Source organism: Homo sapiens, chromosome 19 (genome assembly GCF_000001405.40).
Source record: "Homo sapiens chromosome 19, GRCh38.p14 Primary Assembly".
NCBI classification, from domain to species: Eukaryota; Metazoa; Chordata; class Mammalia; order Primates; family Hominidae; genus Homo; species Homo sapiens.
The window spans coordinates 13,953,582-13,978,191 of record NC_000019.10 but is presented as its reverse complement, the minus strand read 5'-3'; the positions used below and the strand labels follow the sequence as shown (position 1 = coordinate 13,978,191).

At 57.4% G+C, this 24,610-nt stretch overlaps 2 protein-coding genes across 18 annotated transcripts in view, besides 2 other annotated features; one reads left to right on the top strand and one right to left on the bottom strand.

Moving 5' to 3' along the window:
- Nucleotides 1-16,662, top strand: part of RFX1 (regulatory factor X1) — a 45,287-nt gene extending 28,625 nt beyond the window's left edge. For 7 of the 9 annotated variants that reach the window (XM_011528170.3, XM_047439194.1, XM_011528167.3 and 4 more), the window contains 14 exons: nucleotides 106-200; nucleotides 5,065-5,449; nucleotides 8,017-8,198; nucleotides 9,298-9,417; nucleotides 9,512-9,627; nucleotides 11,441-11,559; nucleotides 11,662-11,771; nucleotides 12,415-12,566; nucleotides 12,646-12,743; nucleotides 14,185-14,334; nucleotides 14,446-14,654; nucleotides 14,917-15,070; nucleotides 15,153-15,198; nucleotides 15,328-16,662. In XM_011528170.3, the coding sequence (XP_011526472.1) occupies nucleotides 106-200; nucleotides 5,065-5,449; nucleotides 8,017-8,198; nucleotides 9,298-9,417; nucleotides 9,512-9,627; nucleotides 11,441-11,559; nucleotides 11,662-11,771; nucleotides 12,415-12,566; nucleotides 12,646-12,743; nucleotides 14,185-14,334; nucleotides 14,446-14,654; nucleotides 14,917-15,070; nucleotides 15,153-15,198; nucleotides 15,328-15,497 (2,106 nt within the window). In that variant the 3' untranslated portion in view covers nucleotides 15,498-16,662. The remainder of the gene's footprint in view (nucleotides 1-105; nucleotides 201-5,064; nucleotides 5,450-8,016; nucleotides 8,199-9,297; nucleotides 9,418-9,511; nucleotides 9,628-11,440; nucleotides 11,560-11,661; nucleotides 11,772-12,414; nucleotides 12,567-12,645; nucleotides 12,744-14,184; nucleotides 14,335-14,445; nucleotides 14,655-14,916; nucleotides 15,071-15,152; nucleotides 15,199-15,327) is intronic. The other 2 variants (XM_047439195.1, XM_047439192.1) reach the window with 1 other exon arrangement.
- Nucleotides 16,743-24,610, bottom strand: part of DCAF15 (DDB1 and CUL4 associated factor 15) — an 8,941-nt gene continuing 1,073 nt past the window's right edge. Inside the window, exons 2-13 of one of the 9 annotated variants that reach the window (NM_138353.4) lie at nucleotides 23,755-23,852; nucleotides 23,531-23,666; nucleotides 22,174-22,280; nucleotides 21,930-22,069; nucleotides 21,670-21,840; nucleotides 18,713-19,147; nucleotides 18,519-18,610; nucleotides 18,297-18,425; nucleotides 18,123-18,208; nucleotides 17,801-17,905; nucleotides 17,612-17,727; nucleotides 16,743-17,252 (exon numbers count right to left, since the gene is read on the bottom strand). In NM_138353.4, the coding sequence (NP_612362.2) occupies nucleotides 17,197-17,252; nucleotides 17,612-17,727; nucleotides 17,801-17,905; nucleotides 18,123-18,208; nucleotides 18,297-18,425; nucleotides 18,519-18,610; nucleotides 18,713-19,147; nucleotides 21,670-21,840; nucleotides 21,930-22,069; nucleotides 22,174-22,280; nucleotides 23,531-23,666; nucleotides 23,755-23,852 (1,671 nt within the window). In that variant the 3' untranslated portion in view covers nucleotides 16,743-17,196. The remainder of the gene's footprint in view (nucleotides 17,253-17,611; nucleotides 17,728-17,800; nucleotides 17,906-18,122; nucleotides 18,209-18,296; nucleotides 18,426-18,518; nucleotides 18,611-18,712; nucleotides 19,148-21,669; nucleotides 21,841-21,929; nucleotides 22,070-22,173; nucleotides 22,281-23,530; nucleotides 23,667-23,754; nucleotides 23,853-24,610) is intronic. The other 8 variants (NM_001393638.1, NM_001393639.1, NM_001393637.1 and 5 more) reach the window with 8 other exon arrangements.
- Nucleotides 18,028-18,600: an enhancer, noted in NCBI's record as "H3K4me1 hESC enhancer chr19:14070404-14070976 (GRCh37/hg19 assembly coordinates)". NCBI's record gives its function as "activates a minimal SCP1, AML or CMV promoter by ChIP-STARR-seq in primed H9 embryonic stem cells {active_cell/tissue: H9 hESC(primed)}" and the evidence as "EXISTENCE:reporter gene assay evidence [ECO:0000049][PMID:30033119]".
- Nucleotides 18,601-19,174: an enhancer, noted in NCBI's record as "H3K4me1 hESC enhancer chr19:14069830-14070403 (GRCh37/hg19 assembly coordinates)". NCBI's record gives its function as "activates a minimal SCP1, AML or CMV promoter by ChIP-STARR-seq in primed H9 embryonic stem cells {active_cell/tissue: H9 hESC(primed)}" and the evidence as "EXISTENCE:reporter gene assay evidence [ECO:0000049][PMID:30033119]".

Sequence of the window (24,610 nt, the reverse complement as noted above, 5' to 3'; positions counted from 1 at the left end):
GGAGCTGGGCGTCAGGGATAGCCTGGGTGGGCACCAGCCCTTTAGAGGGAGAACCGTAGGAGCTGGCCCACCCCTGACCCTCCACGTGCCCTTCCTCTGCCCCAGGTGCAGCAGCTCCAGCAGGTGCCCGTCCCACACGTGTACTCCAGCCAGGTGCAGTATGTGGAGGGCGGCGATGCCAGCTACACGGCCAGTGCCATGTAAGTGAAGGGAGAGGGGTGGGTGAGGGAGTCAGGTCTGCACTGGAGCCTCCCCAGTCTCCCAGGACACCAGTCCCCAGTCCCAGCCCCCAGCAGGCCATCCGGCCTTCAAGGCCTCAGGTGACAGACACACAGGTGGGCACTCCCCAGGGGCAGCCACAGCCACGAAAAGTGGCGAAGCAGAGGGACCCTTGAAGGTTGGGAAAGGCACCCCGGCATAGCTTAGGGCTTGGGAGTCAAATGAGCCTGGTTTTTAACCAAAAAAAAAAAAAAAAGGCCAGGCACGGTGGCTCACGCCTGTAATCCCAGCACTTTGGGAGGCCTAAGCGGGCAGATCACTTGAGGTCAGGAGTTCAAGACTAGCCTGGCCAACATGGTGAAACCCTGTCTCTACTAAAAATACAAAAGTTAGCCAGGAGTGGTGGCAGGCACCTGTAATTCCAGCTACTCGGGAGGCTGAGGCAGAAGAATTGATTGAACCCAGGAGGCGGAGGTTGCAGTGAGCTGAGATCGTGCCACTGTACTCTAGCCTGGGCAATAGAGTGACACTCCATCTCAAAAAAAAAAAATCATTTGACTCTCAACCCTGTCCCAGAGAGGATGCTGTGACCTGTTTCTTTGTTTCTTTCCAGAGATACTCTAAGAACAGAAACTCTAGCCCTCTATCCATTTTTTTCTTTTTTTTTGTTTTTTTTTTTGAGATGGAGTCTTGCTCTATCGCCAGGCTGGAGTGCAGTGGTGTGATCTCGGCTCACTGCAACCTCTGCCTCCTGTGTTCAAGTGATTCTCGTGTCTCAGCCTCCCGGGTAGCTGGGATTACAGGCACACACCACCACACCCAGCTAATTTTTGTGTTGTTAGTAGAGATGGGGTATCACCATGTTGGTCAGGCTGGTCTTCAATTCCTGACCTCGTGATCCACCCGTCTCAGCCTCCCAAAGTGCTGGGATTACAGGCATGAGCCACCGCACTGGACTTTTTTTTTCTGTTTTTTTTGAGACAGGGTCTCACTCTGTCGCCCAGGCCAGAGAGCAGTGGCGCGATCAGGGCTCACTGCAGCTCACGGGCTCAAGCAATCCTCTTACCTCAGCCTCCCTAGTAGCTGGGACTACAGGTGTGCACCACCATGCTCAGCTAATTTTTGTATTTTTGTAGAGATGGGGTTTTGCCACGTTGCCCAGGCTCATCTCCTCGAACTCTTGGACTTAAATGATCCTCCCGTCTTGGCCTCCGAAAGTGCTGGGATTACAGGCATGAGCCACAGTGCCCAGCCTCTACCCGCTTTCTGTGGTCAGAAATAGACGCAGGACATTCCATCCATACCTTATTTCTTTCCTGGCTCTTCTACCATGTGTCCTCGTGGGTCCTGGTCACCCTCTTAGCTGCTGTGTAATAACCCCTGTGCAGATGCAGCAGCCACGATGTCATCAGTCCCCACCCAGTGATGCATAGGGGGCTTCTTCCCCTCCCTGGGTACAGCACTACCATTCCTGTGTATGGGCCGTGTCAGGCAGGGGCCACGTCCTGGCCCCGCTTCAGTCCCGGCTCGGGCTCCTCGCCGGGGGTCCTCCATGCCACCTTCCCTCTCCCATCTCCACAGAAATTGCTGCAGTACTAGAGTTACTGTTGGTTTAGTTTCCAGAGGTTTCACTTGGTTTTCTTTGCATTTGCATGATTTCTTTTTTCATCCCTGCCACTTGTTCTTCTGGGGACAATGCTGGGATTGGTTAGCTCATGGATCGACTTAGTCCTAGGGTCATGATGCTCTGACCGACCCCAGTGGGCCTGGTCCAGGCATCTAAATCGTGAGGCTTGGTCCCCGGCGTCCGGCTACCTCACAGTTCCATTTGTTTCTTTCCAGTGCTGCTAATCTTTTCACTGTGTGGTTGAGCCAAGCTGGCAGGGGCCAGACAGGGCATTGCAAAGAGGAACACGGTGTCCAAGGGTTCCTGCTGCCATCCCTGGTAGCGTCTCTCCTGTCTCTCCTTTGCTTCTGTCTGAATTCCTCTCTCAGTGATCATAGTGTGTGTGATTGCACCTAGTTCATCGTTGCTATCGGGTTTTTCTGCTACGAGAAGTTGTTGGGGGCCACTCCTGCTGTCAGCTGCCCACCCCTTCTGTCTCTCCCTCTGAGTGAATTACTGCGAGTTCCCGACCCTTTGCCAGCCCTATCCCCACCCTGGCCAAAGCCACAGCCCCTGGGCCTCCATCCCTGGTCCTGTTCTGGGGGGCATCCAGAGCTGCACACATTCATTTATTCAGTCATTCAGCAACCATCTACCAAAGCAACCTTTTTGCAGCACACATTGCATGCTGGGTGTGCAGGAGTGAGCAGGCTGTGGCCCCCGCCTTGGAGAAGTAGGGGCTCTTGCTCAGGTCATGTGCTCTTGGTGTCACTTTGTGTGGTAGACATAGGGCAGGACAGAGAGATCGAGAGCTGGACCTGATGTGTGACAAAGACCATGCTTCCATATCTCCTTCCACTGTCCCCCTCAACTCCCTCTCTTTGTTCACCCACAACCACTCGGGCCTGTGCGGCTCCCTCCCCTGCCACCTTCAGAGTCTGAGCCAGGCCACCTCTTGACTGACCACACTGTCTTTCTGGATGTTTAATTTTTTTTTTTTTTTTTGAGATAGAGTTTCCCTCTTGTTGCACAGCTGGAGTGCAATGGTGCAATCTTGGCTCACTGCAACCTCCACCTTCAGGGTGGTTCTCCTGCGATTCTCCTGCCTCAGTCTCCCGAGTAGTTGGGATTACAGGCGCCCACCACCACACCCGGCTAACTTTTTGTATTTTCAGTAGAGAGAGGGTTTCATCATGTTGGCCAGGCTGGTCTTGAACTCCTGACCTCAGGTGATCCACCCGCCTTGGCCTCCCAGAGTGCTGGGGTTACAGGTGTGAGCCACCGTGCCTGCCCCTGCCCCCCTCCCTTTTTTTTTTTTTTTTTGAGGTGGAGTTTCACTCTGTCACCCAGGCTGGAGTGCAGTGGCATGATCTCAGCTCACTACAGCCTCCACCTCCCAGGTTCAAGTGATCCTCCTGCCCCAGCCTCCTGAGTAGCTGGGACTACAGGCGCCTGCCACCATGCCTGGCTAATTTTTGTATTTTTAGTAGAGACGGTTTCACTATGTTGGCCAGGCTGGTCTCGAACTCCTGACCTCAAGTGATCCACCCGCCTCGTCCTCCCAAAGTGCTGGGATTACAGGTGTGATTACACTGCACCTGGCCTAATGCTATGTTTTTAATCACTAGTACATTGAAAGAGTTCAAAGATCAAAACTATGTCCAACGATGTTTAGCGAGATGGTGAGAGGTGCCCCCTGCCTGTCCCCCTCGACGGAGCCCTCCATGCCCACAGATGACAGACACGCATGCCACATGCAACGCATTCTTCCCTATTGTTCGGTCACACGGTCCCCACTCTTCTCTGCCTCTTATCTGCCCGGTGTTAGGTTCTGGAGCTTGTTCTTTCGGGGGACGACAAGCCTTGCCTCCTTCTCTTTCACCCCTGCATAGGATTCCATCATCTTTTGTTTAACAGCCCCTTGAGGTTGAACCCCTGGTGGTTTTTATACTTGTATACTTGTGACGATTTGCAGCCTCAAGCCTGTGTCACCGGTGCCCATCCCGTCACGCGATATCTGAAGGAGAGAGGCTTCCCCAGCCTGGGATAGGTAGCTTGGCTCAGGGGAAACATATCTGCATTCCTGATGGTCTTCTCCAATCACAGCGTCGCCTTCTCTAGTCCCTTCCAATCACAGCATCGCCTTCTCTAGCCCCACCCCCTTCCTGCTTCACTCACTGCCTGATCACCTTCTGTTATGATCTCTCATTTACCTTTGCACGTGGCTTCTTGCCTGTCTCCCCAACTAGACGGTTCCGGGGGCCGGGGCTTTTCATTCTTGTCCATTGCTGTGTCCAAAGTGTGTGAAACAGTGCCTAGCACACAGTAGGCACTCGAAGTACTTGCCAATTTTATTTTTTTAATGAAGTGTGTAGCATTCCAAGTTCCCTAACCCTTCGGTATTTTTTTTTTTTTTTAATTAAAAAGACAGGGTCGGCCAGGTGTGGTGGCTCATGCCTGTAATCCCAGGACTGTGGGAGACTGAGGCGGGTGGATCACTTGAGGTCAGAAGTTCGAGACCAGCCTGGCCAACATGGTGGAACACCAACTGTACTAAAAAAATACAAAAATTAACCTGGTGTGGTGGTGAGCCCTGTATTCCCAGCTCCTTGGGAGGCTGAGGCAGGAGGATAGCTTGAACCCAGGAGGCGGAGGTTGCAGTGAGCCAAGATTGCGACACTGCACTCTAGCCTGGGTGACAGAGCAAGACTCTGTCTCAATAAGTAAATAAATAAATAAAATAACAAAAATAAAAAGCCAGAGTCTCACTGTCACCTAGGCTTTGCTGCAGTGGTAGTATGGTTATAGCTCACTACAACCTTGAACTCCTGGACTCAAGGGATCTTCCTGCCTCAGCCTCCCAAGTAGCTGGGATTGCAGGTGTGCACCAGCATGCCTGGCTAATCTTCATATTTTTTGTAGAGATGGGTTTTCACTATGTGGCCCAGGCTAGTCTTGAACTCCTGGCCTTCAACGATCCTCCTGCCTCTGCTTCCCAAAGTGCTGGAATTACAGGCAGGAGCCACCATGCCCAGCTGATGATTATATGAAATACTGCCCATCAAGCACTCAGGATGGTACCCAGTCCGTTGTAGATGAATGCTAGGATCTGCTCCTTGCTGCAGGGGAGCTGCTGCTTCCCCAGTCCCCTCCTAGGACCCCCCTTCCTGCACAGTCATGCCCCTCGGCCCCCCAGTTCTCATCCCCCTGACTCTCCCTTGGCTTTGCCTCTTTCCCAGCCGTTCCAGCACCTACTCCTATCCCGAGACGCCGCTGTACACGCAGACGGCAAGCACCAGCTACTACGAGGCCGCAGGCACGGCCACCCAGGTCAGCACCCCCGCCACCTCCCAGGCGGTGGCCAGCAGTGGCTCCATGCCCATGTACGTGTCCGGCAGCCAGGTCGTCGCCAGCTCCACCAGCACTGGGGCTGGGGCCAGCAACAGCAGCGGAGGTGGTGGCAGTGGTGGTGGCGGCGGCGGCGGGGGAGGCGGTGGCGGGGGTGGCAGTGGCAGCACCGGAGGCGGCGGCAGCGGAGCAGGCACCTACGTGATCCAAGGCGGCTACATGCTGGGCAGTGCCAGCCAGTCTTACTCTCACACCACCCGTGCCTCGCCAGCCACGGTAAGTGCCCCAACGCGGGCCCCAGAGGAGGCAGGCAGTGGTGGGTGGTGGGCACTAGAAGCCCAGTCCATGACGGTGGTTACCAACCACCGCTAGCAGGAGCCTGTGTGGCCCCCAATGAAGAGAACATATGCAGATGTCCTGGGATTGAATGCTGTGTGGCCTCAGATAAATTACTCAGCCTCTCTGGGCCTCAGCTGATATGCATGAAATTCTTAACACAATACTACAGAAGTGTTGTCTATTGTTGGCTGGGCGCTGTGGCTCACACCTGTAATCCCAGGACTTTGGGAGACTGAAGTGGGTGGATCACCTGAAGTCAGGAGTTCAAGACCAGCCCGACCAACATGGTGAAACTCCATCTCTACTAAAAATACAAAAATTAGCCGGGCATGGTGGTATGCACCTGTAATCCCAGCTACTCAGGAGGGTGAGGCATGAGACTTGCTTGAACCTGGGAGGTGGTTGCAGTGAGCGGAGACTGCGCCACCGCACTCAAGCCTGGGAGACACAGCAAGATTCTGTCTCAAAAAAAAAAAAAAAATGTTGTCTACTTTTTTTTTTTTTTTTTTTTGAGACAGGGTTTTGTTCTGTCGTCCAGGCTGAAGCACAGTGCTGTAATCATAGCTCACTGCAGCCTCAAACTCCCAGGCTCAAGTGATCCTCCCAGTTTACCCTTGCAAGTAGCTGGGACTACAGGCATGCCGCACCATGTCCGGCTAATTTTTTTGTTTGTTTAAGACGGAGTCTTGCTCTGTCGCCAGGCTGAAGTGCAGTGGCATGATCTCGGCTCACTGCGACCTCCGCCTCCCGGGTTCAAGTGATTCTCCTGCCCCAGTCTCCCGAGTAGCTGGGACTATAGGCGTGCCACCACGCTCAGCTAATTTTTGTATTTTTAGTAGAGACGGGGTTTCACCATGTTGGCCAGGATGGTCTCGATTTCCTGACCTCGTGATCCACCCTCCTCGGCCTCCCAAAGTGCTGGGATTACAGACGTGAGCCACCACGCCTGGCGGATTTTAAAAAATTTTTTTTGTAGAGACAGGATCTCACTCTGTTGCCTAGGCTGGTCTCAAAATCCTGGCCTCAGGCGATCCTCCCAGCCATCTATTCTGATTAAAATTGATTATAGAGAATAGATAATGAGGGCAGAGAGAAGCCAGCACTGCCATGGGGAGCTTCCTGAACAGGGTTCTTCCACCATCAGGAAGGCGGGTGCTGGAACCTCCCTGTGCCTAGAAGTGGTTGTGTGAAGTCCCTGGGGCAGCCCTGGATTCCAACCCCAACCGGGCCCTTCGACATTTGTGTGATTGTGGGGTGGGTCAGCGCTGGTGGTCCTGGTGGTCCCTCATGGTCCTGATGTAGCCTGGCTTCTAGTCTATTCTAGTCTTTTTTTTTCTTTTTTGGAGATGGAGTTTTGCTCTTGTCACCCAGACTGGAGTGCAGTGGCGCAATCTCAGTTCACTGTAACCTTCCCACCTCCCAGGTTCAAGCAATTTTTGTGCCTCAGCCTCTCGAGTAGCTGGGATGACAGGTGCCCACCACCACACCTGGCTAATTTTTGTATTTTTAGTAGAGACAGGGTTTCACCATGTTGGCCAGGCTGGTCTCTAACTTCTGACTTCAGGTGATCCGCCCGCCTCGGCCTCCCAAAGTGTTGGGATTACAGGTGTGAGCCACCACTCCTGGCTTGAAAATTTGATTTTTTTCATTCTGCATAAATTCATATAATTTTTTTTTTTTAGAAGGAATCTTGCTCTGTCGCACAGGTTGGAGTGCAGTGGTGCGATCTTGGCTCACTGCAGCCTCTGCCTCCCTGCAACCTCTGCCTCCCAAGTTCAAATGATTCTCCTGTCTCAGCCTCCCAAGCAGCTGGGACTACAGGCGCACACCGCCACTCCCAGCTAATTTTTGTATTTTTAGTAGAGACGGGGTTTCACAATATTGACCAGGCTGGTCTCAGTCTCCTGATCTCATGATCCACCCACCTGCCTTGGCCTCCCAAAGTGCTGGGATTACAGGCATGAGCCACCACGTCCTGCTAATTTTTTTTTTTTTTTTTTTTTTTTTTTTTTTTTTTTGAGACAAGGTCTCACTGTATCCAGGCTGGAGTATAGTGGCTTGACCATAGCCTACTGCAGCCTTGAACTTCTGAGCTGAAGGGATCCTCTTGCCTCAGCCTCCCAAATAGCTGGGACTGCAGGTGTGCACCACGACACTAGCTAATTTTTTTAAAAATTCGTTGGTAGAGACAGGGTCTCCCTATGTTGCCCAGCCTGGGCTCAAGTGATCCTCCTACCTTAGCCTCCCAAAGTGCTGGAACTAAAGGGGTGAGCCGTGCCCGGCCTTTAATGTATTTAGCTATACATGGCAACTGTATTGGACAGTGCAGTTCTAGAGTTCTGTGGGACATAGTTCTTGGAGAGGATGGCAGTAGGATGTGCTAACTTATGTGGGCGTGGCTGTCAGGATCCCAGCTGGAAGTCGATGTGGGGCACTCAGCCCCAGCACTCAGAGATGACGGAAGCGCCTCTGACTGGTGCTCTCCCATCTCCCTCCCACCCCAGGTCCAGTGGCTCCTGGACAACTATGAGACGGCTGAGGGCGTGAGTCTGCCACGGAGCACCCTCTACTGCCACTACTTACTGCACTGCCAGGAGCAGAAGCTGGAGCCCGTCAACGCCGCCTCCTTCGGCAAGCTCATCCGCTCCGTCTTCATGGGCCTGCGAACCCGCCGTCTGGGCACCAGGTAGGGCCATCCGTCTACTCCCAGCAGTCCCTGGGGAATTGGTGGGCATGCCAAGGCCCACCCCCACTCCGAGTCATCTCAGGCAGTCCAGTCCAGCCCAGTCCCGCCGGCCTCTGCGAGGCTCCTCGACAGCCCCGCTCACTCCCACTCTAGGCCTTTGCACTGGCGGTGCCTTCCACCTCATGTGCTTCTCACCCCTCCTTACTTGCACGTCCCCTGACTGCCTCAACTAAAACTGCAGCCTCCCCCTCTCCCCTGCCCGACACCCCCCAACCCTGCTTTATTTTTCTCTTTAGCATTCAGCACGCTCACACGTGACTTTTTTTTTTTTTTGGAGACAAGAGTCTCACTCTGTGGCCCAGGCTGGAGTGCAGTGACTCAATCTCGGCTCACTGCAACCTCTGCCTCACGGGTTCAAGCCATTCTCATGCCTCAGCCTCTTGAGTAGCTTGGGACTACAAGCATGTGCCACCACGCCCAGCTAATTTTTAAAAAATAATTTTAGTAGAGACAGGGCTTTGCTATGTTGGCCAGGCTGGTCTTGAACTCCTGTCCTCAAGTGATCCACCTGCCTTGGCCTCCCAAAGTGCTAGGATTATAGGCATGACCCCACCGTGCCCGGCCCACACGTGCCTTTTACATGACTTATTTCAGTTGTTCTGGTCCGTCTGCAGTGCTCGTACCTCGATGACGCGGGGTTGTACCTAGTCAGTGCTTCATCAGGGTCTGTGAGTCAGTAAATTCATGCGGGAAGGAACAAGAAGGCATCCCAAGAACCCGCCCCTCTCTTCCTCTCCTTTGCAACCCCCATGGCTCACCTCCGCTCACGTCTCGGTTCCCATTCCCAGCTTCAGCGTCACCTCGTTCAGCCATTCATCCATTCAGCCATTCATTTATGCATAATCTTGGGCAAACCGCTGGATCTCTCCTGACACCCACAGCCCCTGTGCCTCCTCAGTGCAGCACCCCCGTCTCTGCAGGGCAGGCGTCTCTCTATCCATTCTCCTAACAGAGAGGAGACGGGTGTGCTGTGAGGTGCTCCATGGCCGGCCAGCCGGCAGACCCCCAGCCCAGCCCTTCCCCTCCACCTCCCTCCCAGGGGCAACTCCAAGTACCACTACTATGGCCTGCGCATCAAGGCCAGCTCACCCCTGCTGCGGCTGATGGAGGACCAGCAGCACATGGCCATGCGGGGCCAGCCCTTCTCGCAGAAGCAGAGGTAGGAAGGCAGGGCCGGACCCAGGGCAGGGCAGGCGGGGAAGGGCACACAGGCCGGCCCCCAGCAGCCGGCCCACCTGCCCATTCTACTCCAGGCTCAAGCCCATCCAGAAGATGGAAGGCATGACCAACGGCGTGGCGGTGGGGCAGCAGCCGAGCACGGGGCTGTCGGACATCAGCGCCCAGGTGCAGCAGTACCAGCAATTTTTGGGTGAGAGCTCCCTGGCCCGTGCTTCCCCAACCACCGCCTCCCTGCCCCGTGCAGACGGTTCCCAAAGCTGGATGGCGGCAGGCAGCCTCTGAGCTGGGGAGGGCTTGGTGAGAGATGCCCGAGAACCAGCAGGGGGTGGGGGAGACATCACAGTCTCCGTCCACAGTGACAGTTCTGTCCCTAGAATCCTTCTTCAAGGTAGATTCTCATTTCTTTCAATGCAAAGCATTTCTCGGGGGTTCTGAGCTTCCCAGTGAATCCCCTTTATGCTACTTGAGATTTTCTTTATTTTTGTATTTATTTGTTTATTTTTTTGAGATAGATTCTCTGTCGTCCAGGCTGGAGTGCAGTGGCACCATCCTAGCTCACTGCAACCTCCGCCTCCTGGGTTCAAGTGATTCTCCTGCCTCAGCCTCCTGAGTAGCTGGAACTACAGGCACGTGCCACTATGCCTGGCTAATTTTAGTAACTTTAGGAGAGATGGGGTTTCACCATCTTGGCTAGGCTGGTCTCGAACTCCTGACCTGAAGTGATCCTCCCACCTTGGCCTCCCAAAGTTCTGGGATTACAGGCATGAGCCACCATGCCCGGCATACATGAGATTTCAAATCCCACCCAGTTGGACATGGTTACTTTTTGGAGATATGACGGCAGGTCCTCTTCTCTCATGAGTCCTGTGAGGCCCACTCGCTTTCCCATCCAGCCATCCCACAGCCATGGTGTCCACAGGGCTAGGACCACTCACTCGCCAAGAAGGCAGGTGTGTACCCAGTGTTTCTAAAAGTAAGGCCTGGTGCAGTGGTTCATGTCTGTAATCCCAGCACTTTGGGAGGCCGAGGCTGGAGGAATCGCTTGAGGTCAAGAGTTCGAGACCAGCCTAGTCAACATGGTGAATCCCCATCTCTACTAAAAATACCAAAATTAGCCGGGTGTGGTGGCGGGTGCCTGTAATCCCAGCTACTCAGGAGGCTGAGGCAGGAGAATTGCTTGAACTCAGGAGGCGGAGGTTGCAGTGAGTCAAGATCATGCCATTGCACTGCAGCCTGGGCGACACAGTGAGTGAGACTCTGTCTCAGGAAAATAAAAAAGGCCGGGTGCAGTGGCTCACGTGTGTAATCCCAGCACGTTGGGAGGCCGAGGTGGGAGGAATTGCTTGAGTCCAGGAGTTGGAGACCAGCCTGGGCAACATAGCAAGACCCCATCTCTTAAAAAAAAAAAAAGACAAAGTAAACAACAATCCATGAAAACAGGGCCAAAGGATGCTAAGTAAACAAGCAACCCTTGGAACCCACAGTCCAGCCACACATCCTTGATCCTGAGCACGTGGGAGCTCATTTCCCCACCTGCCCTGGAGGCCGGGACATCCCATTTGGAGGGTGGGGAACAATACTTCTAGCAGAGTCGAGGGGCATCCCTAGGGCGACTGTCCATGGCTAGCCCCAACCTGGGGTGCTTAGGCTCAGGGCAGTGTCCTGTGGTCCTGACTGTGCCCTGGGTGCCTACCCATTCCCCGGCCAGGTGGGTGCTGTGTTGCAGCCGGGACTCAGAGGCCCACGTCCTGAGGGTTGGTGCAGTGCTGTTACTCAGCAGACAGGCAGGGCTGGCACAAGACCCTCCTGTCCTCTCTGCCAGAGGAGTGTGGGCCCTCACTCCTGGGCCCGTCCTGGGCCCGGGCCAGGCGCTCACCCCACCTAGCGTTGTCTCACCGGCACATGGGGGACCCCAGTCTGATGGGAAACGGACAGGTCAGTAGGACCCCAGGGTGGGCAGGCAAGGGGGATGAAGGGCCTCACGGTTCCCCCCGGCCCCCTAGATGCCTCTCGGAGCCTCCCTGACTTCACAGAGCTCGACCTCCAGGGCAAGGTGCTGCCTGAGGGCGTCGGGCCCGGGGACATCAAAGCCTTCCAGGTCCTGTACCGGGAACACTGTGAGGTAGGGTGGCCAGGTGGGCAGGCAAGTGGACGGGGACGCAGCCACGGGCATGGGAGGGCCATGCTGCCCCCCAGCCTCCCTGAGCATCCGCCTCTGCCACAGGCCATTGTCGACGTCATGGTGAACCTGCAGTTCACCCTGGTGGAGACGCTGTGGAAGACCTTCTGGAGGTACAACCTCAGCCAGCCCAGTGAGGCGCCACCGCTGGCTGTGTGAGTACTGCCCGGCGACTGTGGGAGGGAGAGGGGGGAGGAGGGCATGACCCGCAGGTGATTTTGATGGCCAGGGTTGGGGCACCTGCTTGTCCCCTGCAGTTTGTGGGGTACACATATCCTTGGCTGTGTGGAGTGTGTATAGCCACCCGACACTCAACAGTCGGGGGTGGAGTGCCTGACTAAGCCCAGGCATGGGGCAGGGCACCATCTTCTCCCTGGAGTGGCAGGTTCTGGAATCTGTTTGACCCCTGTATGGAGGGTAGGGCATAGGATCCCGTCCCACCCCTCGGGCCTGTGCCAACCAGACCCTGGGGATCTTTGGGAGGCAGGGGGTACTTACCTGGGGACGGGGGTACCTGTGCCCTTCTGACGCTGGGGGCAGGGCCACAGAGTGCCCCCAGTGACCCTGGGTTGGGGACAAGGTATACCTGTGCCTTCTGGCACTGGAGGCAAGACACAGAGTGCCCCACTGACCCTGGAGTGGGGGTAAGGGGGTACCTGTGCCTTCTGATGCTGGGGGTAGAACCACAGAGTACCCCAGTGACCCTGGGTCAGGGACAGGGGCTACCTGTTCCCTTCTGACGATGGGGGCAGGACCATAGAGTACCCCAGTGACCCGGGGTGGGGTGGGTGCCCGCAGACATGACGAGGCCGAGAAGCGACTGCCCAAAGCCATCCTGGTGCTCCTCTCCAAGTTCGAGCCCGTGCTCCAATGGACCAAGCACTGTGACAACGTGCTGTACCAGGGCCTGGTGGAAATCCTCATTCCCGACGTGCTGCGGCCCATCCCCAGTGAGTGCTCGGCCTGCTCGGCATCCCCTGCCCCACATACACCCGCCCTGCCCTGACCGACCCCCGCCACCGCCCACAGGTGCCTTGACCCAAGCGATCCGGAACTTTGCCAAGAGCCTGGAGAGCTGGCTCACCCACGCCATGGTCAACATCCCCGAGGAGATGCTGCGGGTGAAGGTGAGAGTGTGAGGGGGTCCCTTTCTCCTATCTCTGGGGCTTAGGCCTCCGTCTCCTCTGCTCCCCAGGGGCGGTAAAATTTGTCCCCACGCCTGTTCCAGGGATGATGCCTGTGGAGGAAGGGGAGACCTTCTCCGCCTCGGGGAGCACCCTGGGCATTGTCTTTATAAACCAGTGTCCTCAGGCACCCACTTCTGAAATGCAACCCCCTTTGTGGTGTTACTGTACTCAACACAGCATCTTTCAAAAATAAAAACCAACTGCAAATGTACAGTAGTTCCCTTTAGACAGCCTTGCTAGAAAGTGCTTCAGGTGTGCAGAAACAGATAAAACTTTTTAAGAAAGGCAACAACATCTATAAGGAAACATAATACTTGCCTTTTTCATCAAAAGATGCACATTCGCTGACTACTTAGATGTGAGGAATTTGATGGGATGTGGTTGGGAAAAACAAACAAACAAAAAAACCACCGCTGGGCACAGGGCAGGGACTGGGGCCTTTGGAGACAGTAGATGCCAGATCCAGGAGCAAACCCTTCAGAAGAAACAGCGAGACTCATGTATTCATGTATTCACACAACCTCCTTCTCAGTACACAGCAATGAACAAGATGGACAAAACCCCTGTCCTCTCCCAGAGCTGAGATTCCAGGGTACGAAAGAAAATGAGGCCGGGCGTAGTGGCTCATGCCTGTAATCCCAGCACTTTGGGAGGCGAGGCGGGCGGATCACTTGAGGTCAGGAGTTCAAGACCAGCCTGGCCAACATGGTGAAACCTTGTCTCTACTAAAAATACAAAAATTAGCCCGGCGTGGTGGTGTGCACCTATGATCCCAGCTACCCAGGAGGCTGAGGCACGAGAATCGCTTGAACCCACGAGGCGGAGGATGCAGTGAGCTGAGATCGCGCCACTGCACTCTAGCCTGGATAGAGAGAGATTCAGTGTCAAACAAAAAACAGAAAAAGAAAATGAAACGTGTTTATCAAAGCAGTGTTTGCCCTTTCTGTGCAGTGCCCTCCATATTATCTATTGTGTTCTTTCGTTTTTAAAAAAAAAAAAAAGGCCTTTCCTGGCACGGTGGCTCACTCCCAACATTTTGGGAGGCAAAGGCAGGAGGATCACTTGAAGCCAGAAGTTCGAGACCAGTCTGGGCAACATGGCGAGACCCTGTCTCAATAGTTATTTTAAAAAATATAAATAAATTTCAAAGAATATTGTGCCCTGGTCAGAACACAATAAATTGAATTTTGGGGGGCGCTTGTGAGTGGACACCCAAAGTTTGAAGGTCCCGATCCTTCTGTGTCCCAACAAAAGTAGCGAGGCACATCCCTCCTTTTTTAGGAAAAAGGAAACAGGCTTAGGGAGGTTGCAGCGGGGTGGGGCCAGGGCTGGCGGGCTGGGGTTCCTTGGAAGCAGCAAGCCCCTCAATCCCTGCACGCAGGTGGCCGCGGCTGGCGCCTTCGCGCAGACACTGCGGCGCTACACGTCGCTCAACCACCTGGCGCAGGCGGCGCGCGCTGTGCTGCAGAACACCGCACAGATCAACCAGATGCTGAGCGACCTCAACCGCGTGGACTTCGCCAACGTGCAGGTGAGCGCGGGGCGGGGCGGGGCGGGCGAATGAGGGGCAGCCTAACGGGGCGGGCCAGGCGGGGGTGACGGCGGCTGAGCCCCGGGCGCCCGCCCACCCTCTGTGCCCCAGGAGCAGGCCTCGTGGGTGTGCCGCTGCGAGGACCGCGTGGTGCAGCGGCTGGAGCAGGACTTCAAGGTGACGCTGCAGCAGCAGAACTCGCTGGAGCAGTGGGCGGCCTGGCTGGACGGCGTGGTGAGCCAGGTGCTCAAGCCCTACCAGGGCAGCGCCGGCTTCCCCAAGGCCGCCAAGCTCTTCCTCCTCAAGTGGTCCTTCTACAGGTGCGCGCGCGGCGGGATCGGGTCCGGGCGGCACCAGGGAAGGCCCCGCGTCCCTGGGGGTCTCAGGTGCTCTTCTACGACGACCCGAGCCTGCAGGCTGGGCGGGCAGGCTGGGGCCCTGGGCTCATGTGCCGGGAAGGCTGTGCGGGATCCAGCCTGAGTCACTGGGCTGGCGCGAGGCCCGGGCGCATCGCAGCGGGGAGGGGGAGAGGGGGTCGGGCCGGACGGGGCCTGACGGTCTCCTCTCCGTCTCCATCCCCAGCTCCATGGTGATCCGGGACCTGACCCTGCGCAGCGCCGCCAGCTTCGGTTCCTTCCACCTCATCCGGCTGCTCTACGACGAGTACATGTACTACCTGATCGAGCACCGCGTAGCCCAGGCCAAGGGCGAGACCCCCATCGCCGTCATGGGCGAGGTGCGCGAGGCGGGCCACTGGGGGCGCGGGCGGGGCGCCAGGCGGCGGGACCCTCACCCATTTTCTTCTCTTCTTCCTCCAGTTCGCCAATCTGGCCACCTCCCTGAACCCCCTGGACCCCGACAAAGGTAGGCGAGGCGTGTTCCCACCCAGGGCGCGGGTCCCGGGGGTGGCGGACAACGGAGGGGCTCGGGAGGAGGAGGAGCCCGGGGGCGTTGCCACCCCGCCCCGAGCCGGACTTGGTCCCTGTGTTCCAGACGAGGAGGAAGAAGAGGAGGAGGAGAGCGAGGACGAGCTGCCGCAGGACATCTCACTGGCGGCTGGCGGCGAGTCACCCGCGCTGGGCCCGGAGACCCTGGAGCCGCCGGCCAAGCTGGCGCGGACTGACGCGCGCGGCCTCTTCGTGCAGGCGCTGCCCTCCAGCTAAGCCCTTGGCCTCCCCGCCCCACCCGCCCCCGCCACCCCTCCACGCCAGGGTCCCTCAAAGCTTCTGTGGCTTCGTGGTCACTGCTCCAGCCTCAGCCAGGGCAGGGAGGGGGACTCCGAGACAGGGAAGACCGGGGCCCTCCTCCCTTATGGGGCCGGCACAATCAGTGGGCTGGGCGGAGCCGCAGCTGCAAACTCTGACACAAAAGACGTGCCTTAAGGAACCCGCCGCGTGCCCAGGTGCCCCGCGGGGCATCCAGCTCGGCCCCTTGGCCGCCCCCCTCCCAGGCCCCAGCGTCTTCTCCCCAGCCCCGTCCTCCCACCACCCCAGGGGGCAGGCAGGCAGGCCCCCTCCCGTGCGAAACTGTTAACTTATTCAGCTCGCTGGCTTTGCACAGCCTGTCCTGGGCCCAGCCCTGAGCCCCGGGCCGGCGCAGGTGGGCGTCACCTGGGGACTCCCCACTGTCAGCAGCAGCCCCGGGACACCCTACCCCCAGCAACCCCACTGCTTCCCCTTCTTGGTATTAAGTGCAATTAAAGCCGTGGGTGTCGCATCTTCTCCAGCGCTGGGCCCTCCCTTGCCCCCAAGCTCAAGAAGGGGGCACTGCCCGGCCCGGCTGTGAGGAGGGCGGCAGGGGGCACGGCCTCCAGCTTCCAAAGAGCAGCGAGCCGCGGAGCCGGGGAGTGCCCACAGACCCCAGCCCCCGCGCCCCCGCCCTCCGCCGCTGGTTTGTAATGGAACCTTTTCTGTGCCCCTATCTTCCCGGAGACCACGCTTCTCCTCCGTGCCGTGCGACCCCCACCCCATGACTATTGTGCGATTCGTGAGCGCCGCCCGAGCGGAGTTGGTAACTTGTTGGGTTTTTTTCCAACCATCATGGCCTTATCTGTTCCAGTTTTCTCAGTGTTTTCAGCCTGTGAGATAGATGTTTATGGCAAGAAAAAGGAAAAAAAAATGGAAATCTGACCTATTGTATAAAAATCACTATTTTGTGTGCTCCGCGTGCTATAGCTTTTGGGGCGGCCCTGCCCAGTCCCCGTGCCCACGGGGCTCCCTCTCCCGGTGGTGAAAGTGTCCACACGTGTGGTAGTCTAGTGTGCCGAGCTGTTTTCTACCTTTTTGTAGTCTTTCTTAAAACAATAAATTCCGCTGTGATATTTGCCTACTGCTGACTCGCCGGGCCTTGGTGGGGGCCTTGGGGCGGGGGCTCCAGCTGGGCCCCAAGCTGCAGTGACAGGACCTCAATGAGGTTCAGAAATTAAAACATTTATTACATGAAGAAGAACGGAATGGGGATGGCCAGGTTGCCGGCCTGGGTGGGGAGGCTGGGGGCGGGCAGGGCAGGGGGAATGGGGTCCATTCGACCTCCCCGAGGGCAACGTCCACAGCTGTAGCCGAGAAAAGGGCAAATGCACGAGGGGCCAGGCCCATGCCCAGCTCGGGGTGAAGGCGGGGCACTCAGGCTGGTGGGGCAGGGGGCGCCCTCTCTCTGCCCCTTCCCAACTTAAATAGGCATAAATAAAAAGCGTCCAGACCCTCAGGCCAACAGAGGCTGCCCTGCCCAGCCCCGTTCCGCAGGCTAACACTAGTGCCGGTCATCAGTCGGTGGGCCAGCCGGCCAGGAAGAGGCCACCCCAGGAAGGGGGCCGGTCCCAGGCCACGGAGGTAGTTGGAGTCAGTGTCCGGGGCGGCCTGGCCCTCACAGCACGATCCACGTATATCGCTCGCTGTCCGCCAGAACCTTCAGGGAGCACCCTACAGGGACAGGTGGAGACAAAGCATAGAGCCCCTGCCTGCCTGGCCCTGCGGCCACACCCTCCACCTGACTTGCTTCTGGCCCAGAAGGTTCCAGAAGGCAGGGACCCTGCTGAGTTGCCCTCCACCTCTAGCCTGCAGCTACCCAATAAATGTAGCGTGAATGAGTGACCAGCCAGGCCATGACTGGTGGGAGGCTCCCAGGCCCCACACTTTCAGGGCTGCTGAGCTGGGCCTGGCCTGGGCTGCCCTCTCCTCACCAGCCTTCCCACCCATTTCATCAGCGCTCAGGAATCAGCTCCTGGGTGAGGACAAGTGTTCCTGGTGACCCTGACCATCACGGGGTCACCGAGCCCCACCTTTGTGCAGCGCCTCATTGGTCATCCTGTTGACGTAGCGGCCGCTGCTCTCCGGCACCAGCCACTTCATGACCATGTCCACGCAGCTCTTGCGGTAGGAGCTCCAGACACTGCCGCTGCGGGGCCAGGGGGTGAGTGGCTCTCGTCGCCTTGGCCGCGCCCTGACCCTGCCCCCCAGCCCTGCCTCACCTGGTCTGCCCTTTGACCTCAGTCAGGTCGCCTACACTGACTGTCTCGAAGATCCCTGTGTTGAGGTCCCATGCCACCTTGAGGCTGGTGTGATAGGTCTTTGGTCTACAGTGGAGAGGGACATAGGACAAACGCTGGGACAGCCGGGCTCCTGAACCAGGCCCCAGGCTACCCTGAGGGCCTTTTGTCTTTGGAACAGCTATGGAGGGGCCCAGCCAGGTTGTGGCACAGGGAGAGCCTTCTCACGTCCCCACACCCCCACCGTGAAGTGTCTGCCAGTGGCCCCCCTAGTGGACAGAGAGGGCAGGATCCCCGCGCTCACCGGAGCTGGCCCTCCTCAGTGGGGGACGGGAAGGCCAGGAGCAGCAGGCCAATGTTGATGAGGACCTGGTTGGTTTCTGGGCAGACCTGGGGGTGGGGGTGGATGATGCCAACTGTTGAGGGCGACCCCAGAGTACAGGAGGCCCTGGGCCCACCCTGCCCGCCCTGGGCCCACCTCCAGAATGACGATGTCATAGTCGCTGAAAGAACAGAACTGATGGCCCCAGGTAGCGTCGTGGCGGATGACCTCATTGATAACATATTCGAAGTCTAGTGTGAGCTGCTCCACTGTCAGGTACTGGCCCTGCGGGTGAGTGGGTAGGCGCAGGGGACGGTGCCAACTGCCCCCCGGCAGCTCCCCGGGACTGTCCTTGGCCCGCCCACTGCCCACACCCACCTGGACAGCAGTCCGCTCCCGCATGGGCCGCAGGTTGCGGCCACGAAGATCAGTCACCACGAAGGGCAGGGAGATCTTGTCGTCCTCCAACTCTGGGGAGGCAGGAAGTGGGGGTGGGGTGGAGGGAGGCCAGGGGCCCCGTCTGGGCTGGCCTCTCCATCCCAGGCCCTGTCACATGCCTGCCCCCCGCTCACCATCCTCCGGCTCCGTCCCCTCTCCGGACTCCAGCACATAGTACAGCTTGGTGTAGTTGACATAGCCAGGCTCGGAGGCAGGTGCCTCCGAGGCAGGGGGGCTGTCCCGGGGTGCCGTCTCTCCACACAGGGCTAGGGGCTCAGAGTGCGCACGGCAGCGGCTGCCAGAGGGTCCTGGGCACAGGGCAGGCCGGGCTTCCTCAGGGACCCCGCCCTTGGCCTCTTTGGCCCGGCGGAAGATGTCAGCCACAAACTCCTTGGCTTTGGCAATGGCGGGCGAGGGCTCAGGAGACCCAGAAGAACGGGCTGGGGCCGCCTCAGGGCAGAAGCTGGGGAGGGCAGGGGGCAGCTCTGGGCTCTGGGGCTCAGGGGGGCTGGCAGGCGCCAGGGGGCAGGTGCTGTGGTCATACAGGATTTGGCAGAAACTCCTGTCACCTAAGAAGAGATGGGGGTGGAGAAGTGTCAGTCTGGGGTGCTCCCAGCCTCGCTCAGTGTCCCCAGGGGTTTTCAGAAACCCACCTTAAGGAGACACTTCTAGGAGACTTGGCTATGCTGAGATCAGTTTGAAACACCCAAAAGGGGAAAGACCTTTCTGCGCATGCACACCACGCATTCATGCGTGCAGACGTTCATTCAAACCCCTTTCTTAAGCTGTCTACTGAGCGCCCCACACTGAGGACACAGGAGTGAACCAGACAGACAGAACCCTGCCCTGAGGGAGACAACACTCTACAGCGTAGAGTGTTCACTACAGTAGCATCCAGCCTCCTAACATCTGCCACTCTGTCGAGGGACATCTTGTGATTTTCACTGGCGTTTCTCTGATATGGAAGACCTAAGGCAAAGCCCTCGGTCCTTCCTGACACAAGCCAGACCACTGCGGGCACACTTCATCGAATCAGGGCCTCTGTCTCTGCCTGCCTAGAGACGACTCCCCCAAGGAATGTGGGGAACACATGGAGAACCCCAACATATTCACTAAGCAACCCTGTGGCTGGGCCCCAACCCAGGTTTCCTCCAAGCCCCCTACAAGCAACCCCTAGAGAGGGGCCACATCCCCCAGAATGCAGCTCAGGGATAAACATGCCCAAGGTCACATCTGAGAAAAATCGAGTACGGGCTCCCCTCCACCACCGTGACAGCCCTCCCACAACAGGGCGGGGAACAGAAGGTGACAATGGCCAAGGAAGAAAGCACCCCTCTGTGTCGGCAGCTCCCACTGATGACCACGCCCTTTCCCTGGGCTGGTACAGAGCTGATAGTCCGCTGTGGTCGTTCCTAACAGGACCCACAGCCAAAAGGGCAGAGCGGCGTCAACCCTCGCAAGCTGGGGGGTTCATGGCCAAAAACCAAGTGGTCAAGCCTCAGCAAGAGACAGCGCCTCACCCTTCCTGGTATAGATTGGGGGTGAGGACAGAAAGCCCCAGATATGTCTGGGGACAGAGTGCCCTGGCCCCTGGCTTATTTGTGGGCTGCGTTATATACATTTAATCCTGCCCATTCCCCGACCGCCCCAGGGACAACCATTTCCATGAGGATTTAATGGACGTCTTTGCATCTGAGTTCTTGCAAAATTAAAACGTCTTTTTTTTTTGGAGATGGAGTCTTGCTGTCTCCCAGGCTGGAGTACATTGGCACAATCTCGGCTCACTGCAACCTCCGCCTCCCTCAGTCTCCTGAGTAGCTGGAATTATAAGCATGTGCCACCATGCCCAGCTAATTCTTATATTTTTACTAGAGATGGGGTTTCACCGTGTTGGCCACACTGGTCTTGAACTCCCTGATCTCATGTGATCCGCCTGCCTCAGCCTCCCAAAGTGCTGGGATTACAGGCATGAGCCACTGTGCCTGGCCTAAATCGTCTTTTTAATTTATATTAAGTGGTTCCAGTTATAGATTCCTTGTGTTTCACCCACATGTGCACGCATCTGACACATGCTCCATGGATGCACACACAGGGGCCTTCATTGGTGTTCCACAGATGCCCCCAACCCCTCGCCACCTCCTAAGTCGCTCCCCAATCCCCAGGGAGGGTTCTTCAGGTGGCCCCCAACTCCCCCTCAGCAGTCTTGGACATACGGACCCAGTGAGACTCTGCCAGAGGGAGAGACCCGGGCACAGGGCAGCTGGGTCAGTCATAGTCACAATTCTGTTGCCAAATGGCCCCCGGGGCCCCCTCCCTCCTGTTGCTGCCAGCCGGTGGCATGATCCAGCCTCCTGACATTTGTCACTGTCAAGGGACATCTTGTGATTCTCACTGGCATCTTTCCGATATCAAACATATAATGCCAAGTGCCTGCCCACTAACCACACCCTGAAATGTCACATTAGCGTTTCTCTTCTTAAGAGAAAGGGGCGCTACCCCGTCCAGCTAGCCAACTGTAGCTATTTCAGCTTAAAACAACTACAATTAAATCCATCACAGGCCAGACGCGGTGGCTCACGCCTGTCATCCCAACACTTTGGGAGGCCAAGGTGAGTGGATCACTTGAGGTCAGGAGTTTGAGACCAACCTGATCAACATGGTGAAATCCCATCTCTACTAAAAACACAAAAATTAGCTGGGTATGATGGCACAGGCCTGTAGTCCCAGCTTCTCGGGAGGCTGAGGCAGGAGAATTGCTTGAGCCTGGGAGGTTGCAGTGAGCCAAGATCGCACCACTGGACTCCAGTGGAAAAAAAAGTATCACAAGCTCAGTTCCTCAGTCACATGAGCCACATTCCAAGTGGCTGCTGGAGGCAGCCATGGTGGGACATCTCAGCCACTGGAAAGATCCCGTGGGCAGGGCTGTGGTGGGCGTGGCCACATTTGGACCGCAGCATTCCCACAACCAGGCTGTGTGACTTGGGGAAGTAGCTCCCACCTCTCTACGCCTGGGGCCCCTTGTCTGTGTGGTGGGGTAGGGAGAGGACCCGCTTCACGCGTTGCCGGGTGGCCACGAGACCGCAGGGCCTACCTGCCGAGTGGACGGAGACGGCGCAGGCCACCAGGGAGTAGCTGGTGTTGAGCAGCACCACCTGGTCCTTCTTGAGCTGGAAGGCGGGCTGGAAGGTGGGGAAGGGGTAGACCACCTGGTACTTGGTGTGCAGCATGAAGCCATGCCGTAGGCACTGTGCATTCGGGTCTCCTGTAGCAACACACGCCACAGCAGCTCACTCTCGGCCCGGAGCAAGGGGGGGAGGGGGGAAGAGGCCCTCGCCCCCTCGGCCCCCTCACCTGGGTGGGCTCGGCTGGCATCCTGGCAAGCAGCACAGCGGCCTGGCGGTGGCACGGCCACGGTGCTGACGTAGATGTCACGGTGGTTCTCGTCACTCATCATCATCATGTTCATGAGCATCCCGTTGGCCGAGCGGGTGCTGGGGGCCAGCATACCCTCAGCTGCCTGGTCGGCGCCTGGGGGGCCCCCACTGCACACCCCCTGCCCCAACCAGCCAAGGCTCCCCCAGGCGCCTGGTCTCACTTGAAGCCGAAGACGATGACCTTGGAGGCGTCGCTGGGCCACTCGCATACGGTCAGGTACAGGTCGCTGTAGATCTCCTCGTCCTGGAATAGCCGAACCTGCCGGACCTGTGAGGCACGTTCAGGGGCAGCACCGGGTCAGGGAAACTGCGGAGGTCCCCCGAAGCTGTACGATGCAGTCCCTCATCAGGGCTGGGGCTGAGCGGGTAGGAGCACCCCAACAGCACCCGCCACACCCCTCCACCTTGCCTGAGGACAGCCGTGGAGGCTCCTTTCACCAGTCGGGGAGACCAGGCCAGGGTGGGATGCAGCCGATGGGAACAATGTCCCGGGGGAGACTGCGCCAGGCACTGGTTCCAAGCCCAGCCTACCCTGAAGCCCGTTCAGCTCTCTGAGTTCACATGTATGCTGAGGTAACAGCACACCTCCTGGGGGGGTTCCAGGAGTCAAGGGTCAAGGCTAAAGCCAGGGTGGCCTGGTCCTAATAAAGCTAACTGGCCTGAGCCAACATGTTCTACAGCTTCATAGGGTGTGTTGAACCAAATGGAATTGCTGCTATTTACCCATTTTGAACCATAAAAATGGTAATTTCTTTTTCTTTTTTGAGACAGAGTCTTGCTCTGTAGACTGGAGTGCAGTGGTTCGATCTCGGCTCACTGCAACCTCCACCTCGCAGGTTCTAAGCGATTCTCCTGCCTCAGCCTCCGGAATAGCTGGGATTACAGACATGTGCCACCATGCCCGGCTAATTTTGTATTTTTAGTAGAGATGGGGTTTCACCATGTTGGCCAGGCTGGTCTTGAACTCCTGACCTCAGGTGATCCACCCACCTCGGGCTCCCAAAGTGCTGGGATTACAGGCGTGAGCCACTGTGGCCAGCCTTCATTTGTTTTGTTTTGTTTTGTTTTGTTTTAGAGACAGGGTCTCACTCTGTTGCCCAGGCTGGAGTGCAATGGTGTGATCATGGCTCACTGCAGCCTCAAACTCTTGGGCTCAGGTGATCCTCCTGCCTCAGCCTCCAGAGGAGCTGACTACAGGCACACGCCAATATGCCCAGCTAATTTTTTTTTATTTTTAGTAGAGACAGGGTTTTGCCATGTTGCCCAGCCTGGTCTTGAACTACTCGGACCAAGTGATCCTCCCGCCTTGGCCTCCCAAAGTGCTGGGATTACAGGTGTGAGCTACCATGCCAGGCCCTGGTAATTTCATATGGTTGGATCTAACACATGGAATCTTGATGATGACCCCAGGAGTACATGATGATCATTTTACACCCAAGGAACCTGAGGCTCAGAGGTTGCTGTGACCTGCTGAACCACACCATCTGAAGGGCCAGCCTGGTGTTGAAGCCTCCCTACCAGCTTGAGCTTGCTGTGAACGTTGAACTCCCACCAGTACAGATGGTAGATGTAGAAGGAGAAGTCGTCATCCCCACTGCTGCTGGTGTAGGAGAGGACGTAGCGGCCGCATTTGGAAAAGCCCAGGAAGATATGTCTGTGGGGGTGGAGGGGGCACAGCGGCCAGGTCAGGGCGAGCCCACCACTCCCGCCCACCTGCCCCCTTTGCCTGGGCCCAGCCTCACCCTGCATAGAGGAAGTCCTCATCCACAATGTTCTTGAGGGACACGCACACCCGGGGAGGCAGCTTCCGGAAGAGGCGAGGGGAGAGCTGTCCGCTGATCTGGGGAAGGGGTGGCCAGGGCACTTCAGGCACCATCTGCAGCCCCCAGCCCCCTCACCCACGGCAGAGAGGCAGAGCGGCTCTCACCGGGTCCAGACCGGCCCAGCCCACCATAATGGTCAAAAGAAGGCCAAGCTCTGGAAGGTGGGAACAACTGAGGCAGATGGGGACAGTAAAGCCAGATGGACCGCGCTTGAGCCTTCATCTCCACCAGGGACCCAGGCCACCTTCCCAGTTCCATACCTCTTCAGCCTCAGGTCCCTCTTGACTGAGCCCAGCGTCACCGCCCCCAAGAAAGTTCCCCAATCACCCTGTCCCACGCTGGGCCACCTGCTTCCCTCCCTGAAGGCTGTCCCTAAGCTGTGGGTATTTATCCTACTAAGGAGGCTGGGACAGAGTCCTGACCTGCACCCATCTGTTCCCAACCCACCAGCCTTCAAACAAGGGGGCTCCTCCTCCCCGGGGCAGCTCTGGCCTCTGCTGGGGGCCAGTCGAGGCAGATAGAAGGGTGAGCCTAACCAATGACCCAACGCCCCCTTCCCAATTAACTACCGCCTTCCAACGGAATCCAAGGGAATCCCTCATCCCCAAAACTTCACCGCGGAAGGATCTGCGGGGACTGACAGGCAGAAGCCAGGCACAGGGATATCCGAACAGCCTCAGTCTTGCTACCCAACTCTGCCTTCAAGACATTCCAATCTGATGGGAAGAGTCCTGTCTGGGAAGCTCCCTGTCTGATGGGAGACAGCCCTGTCCAC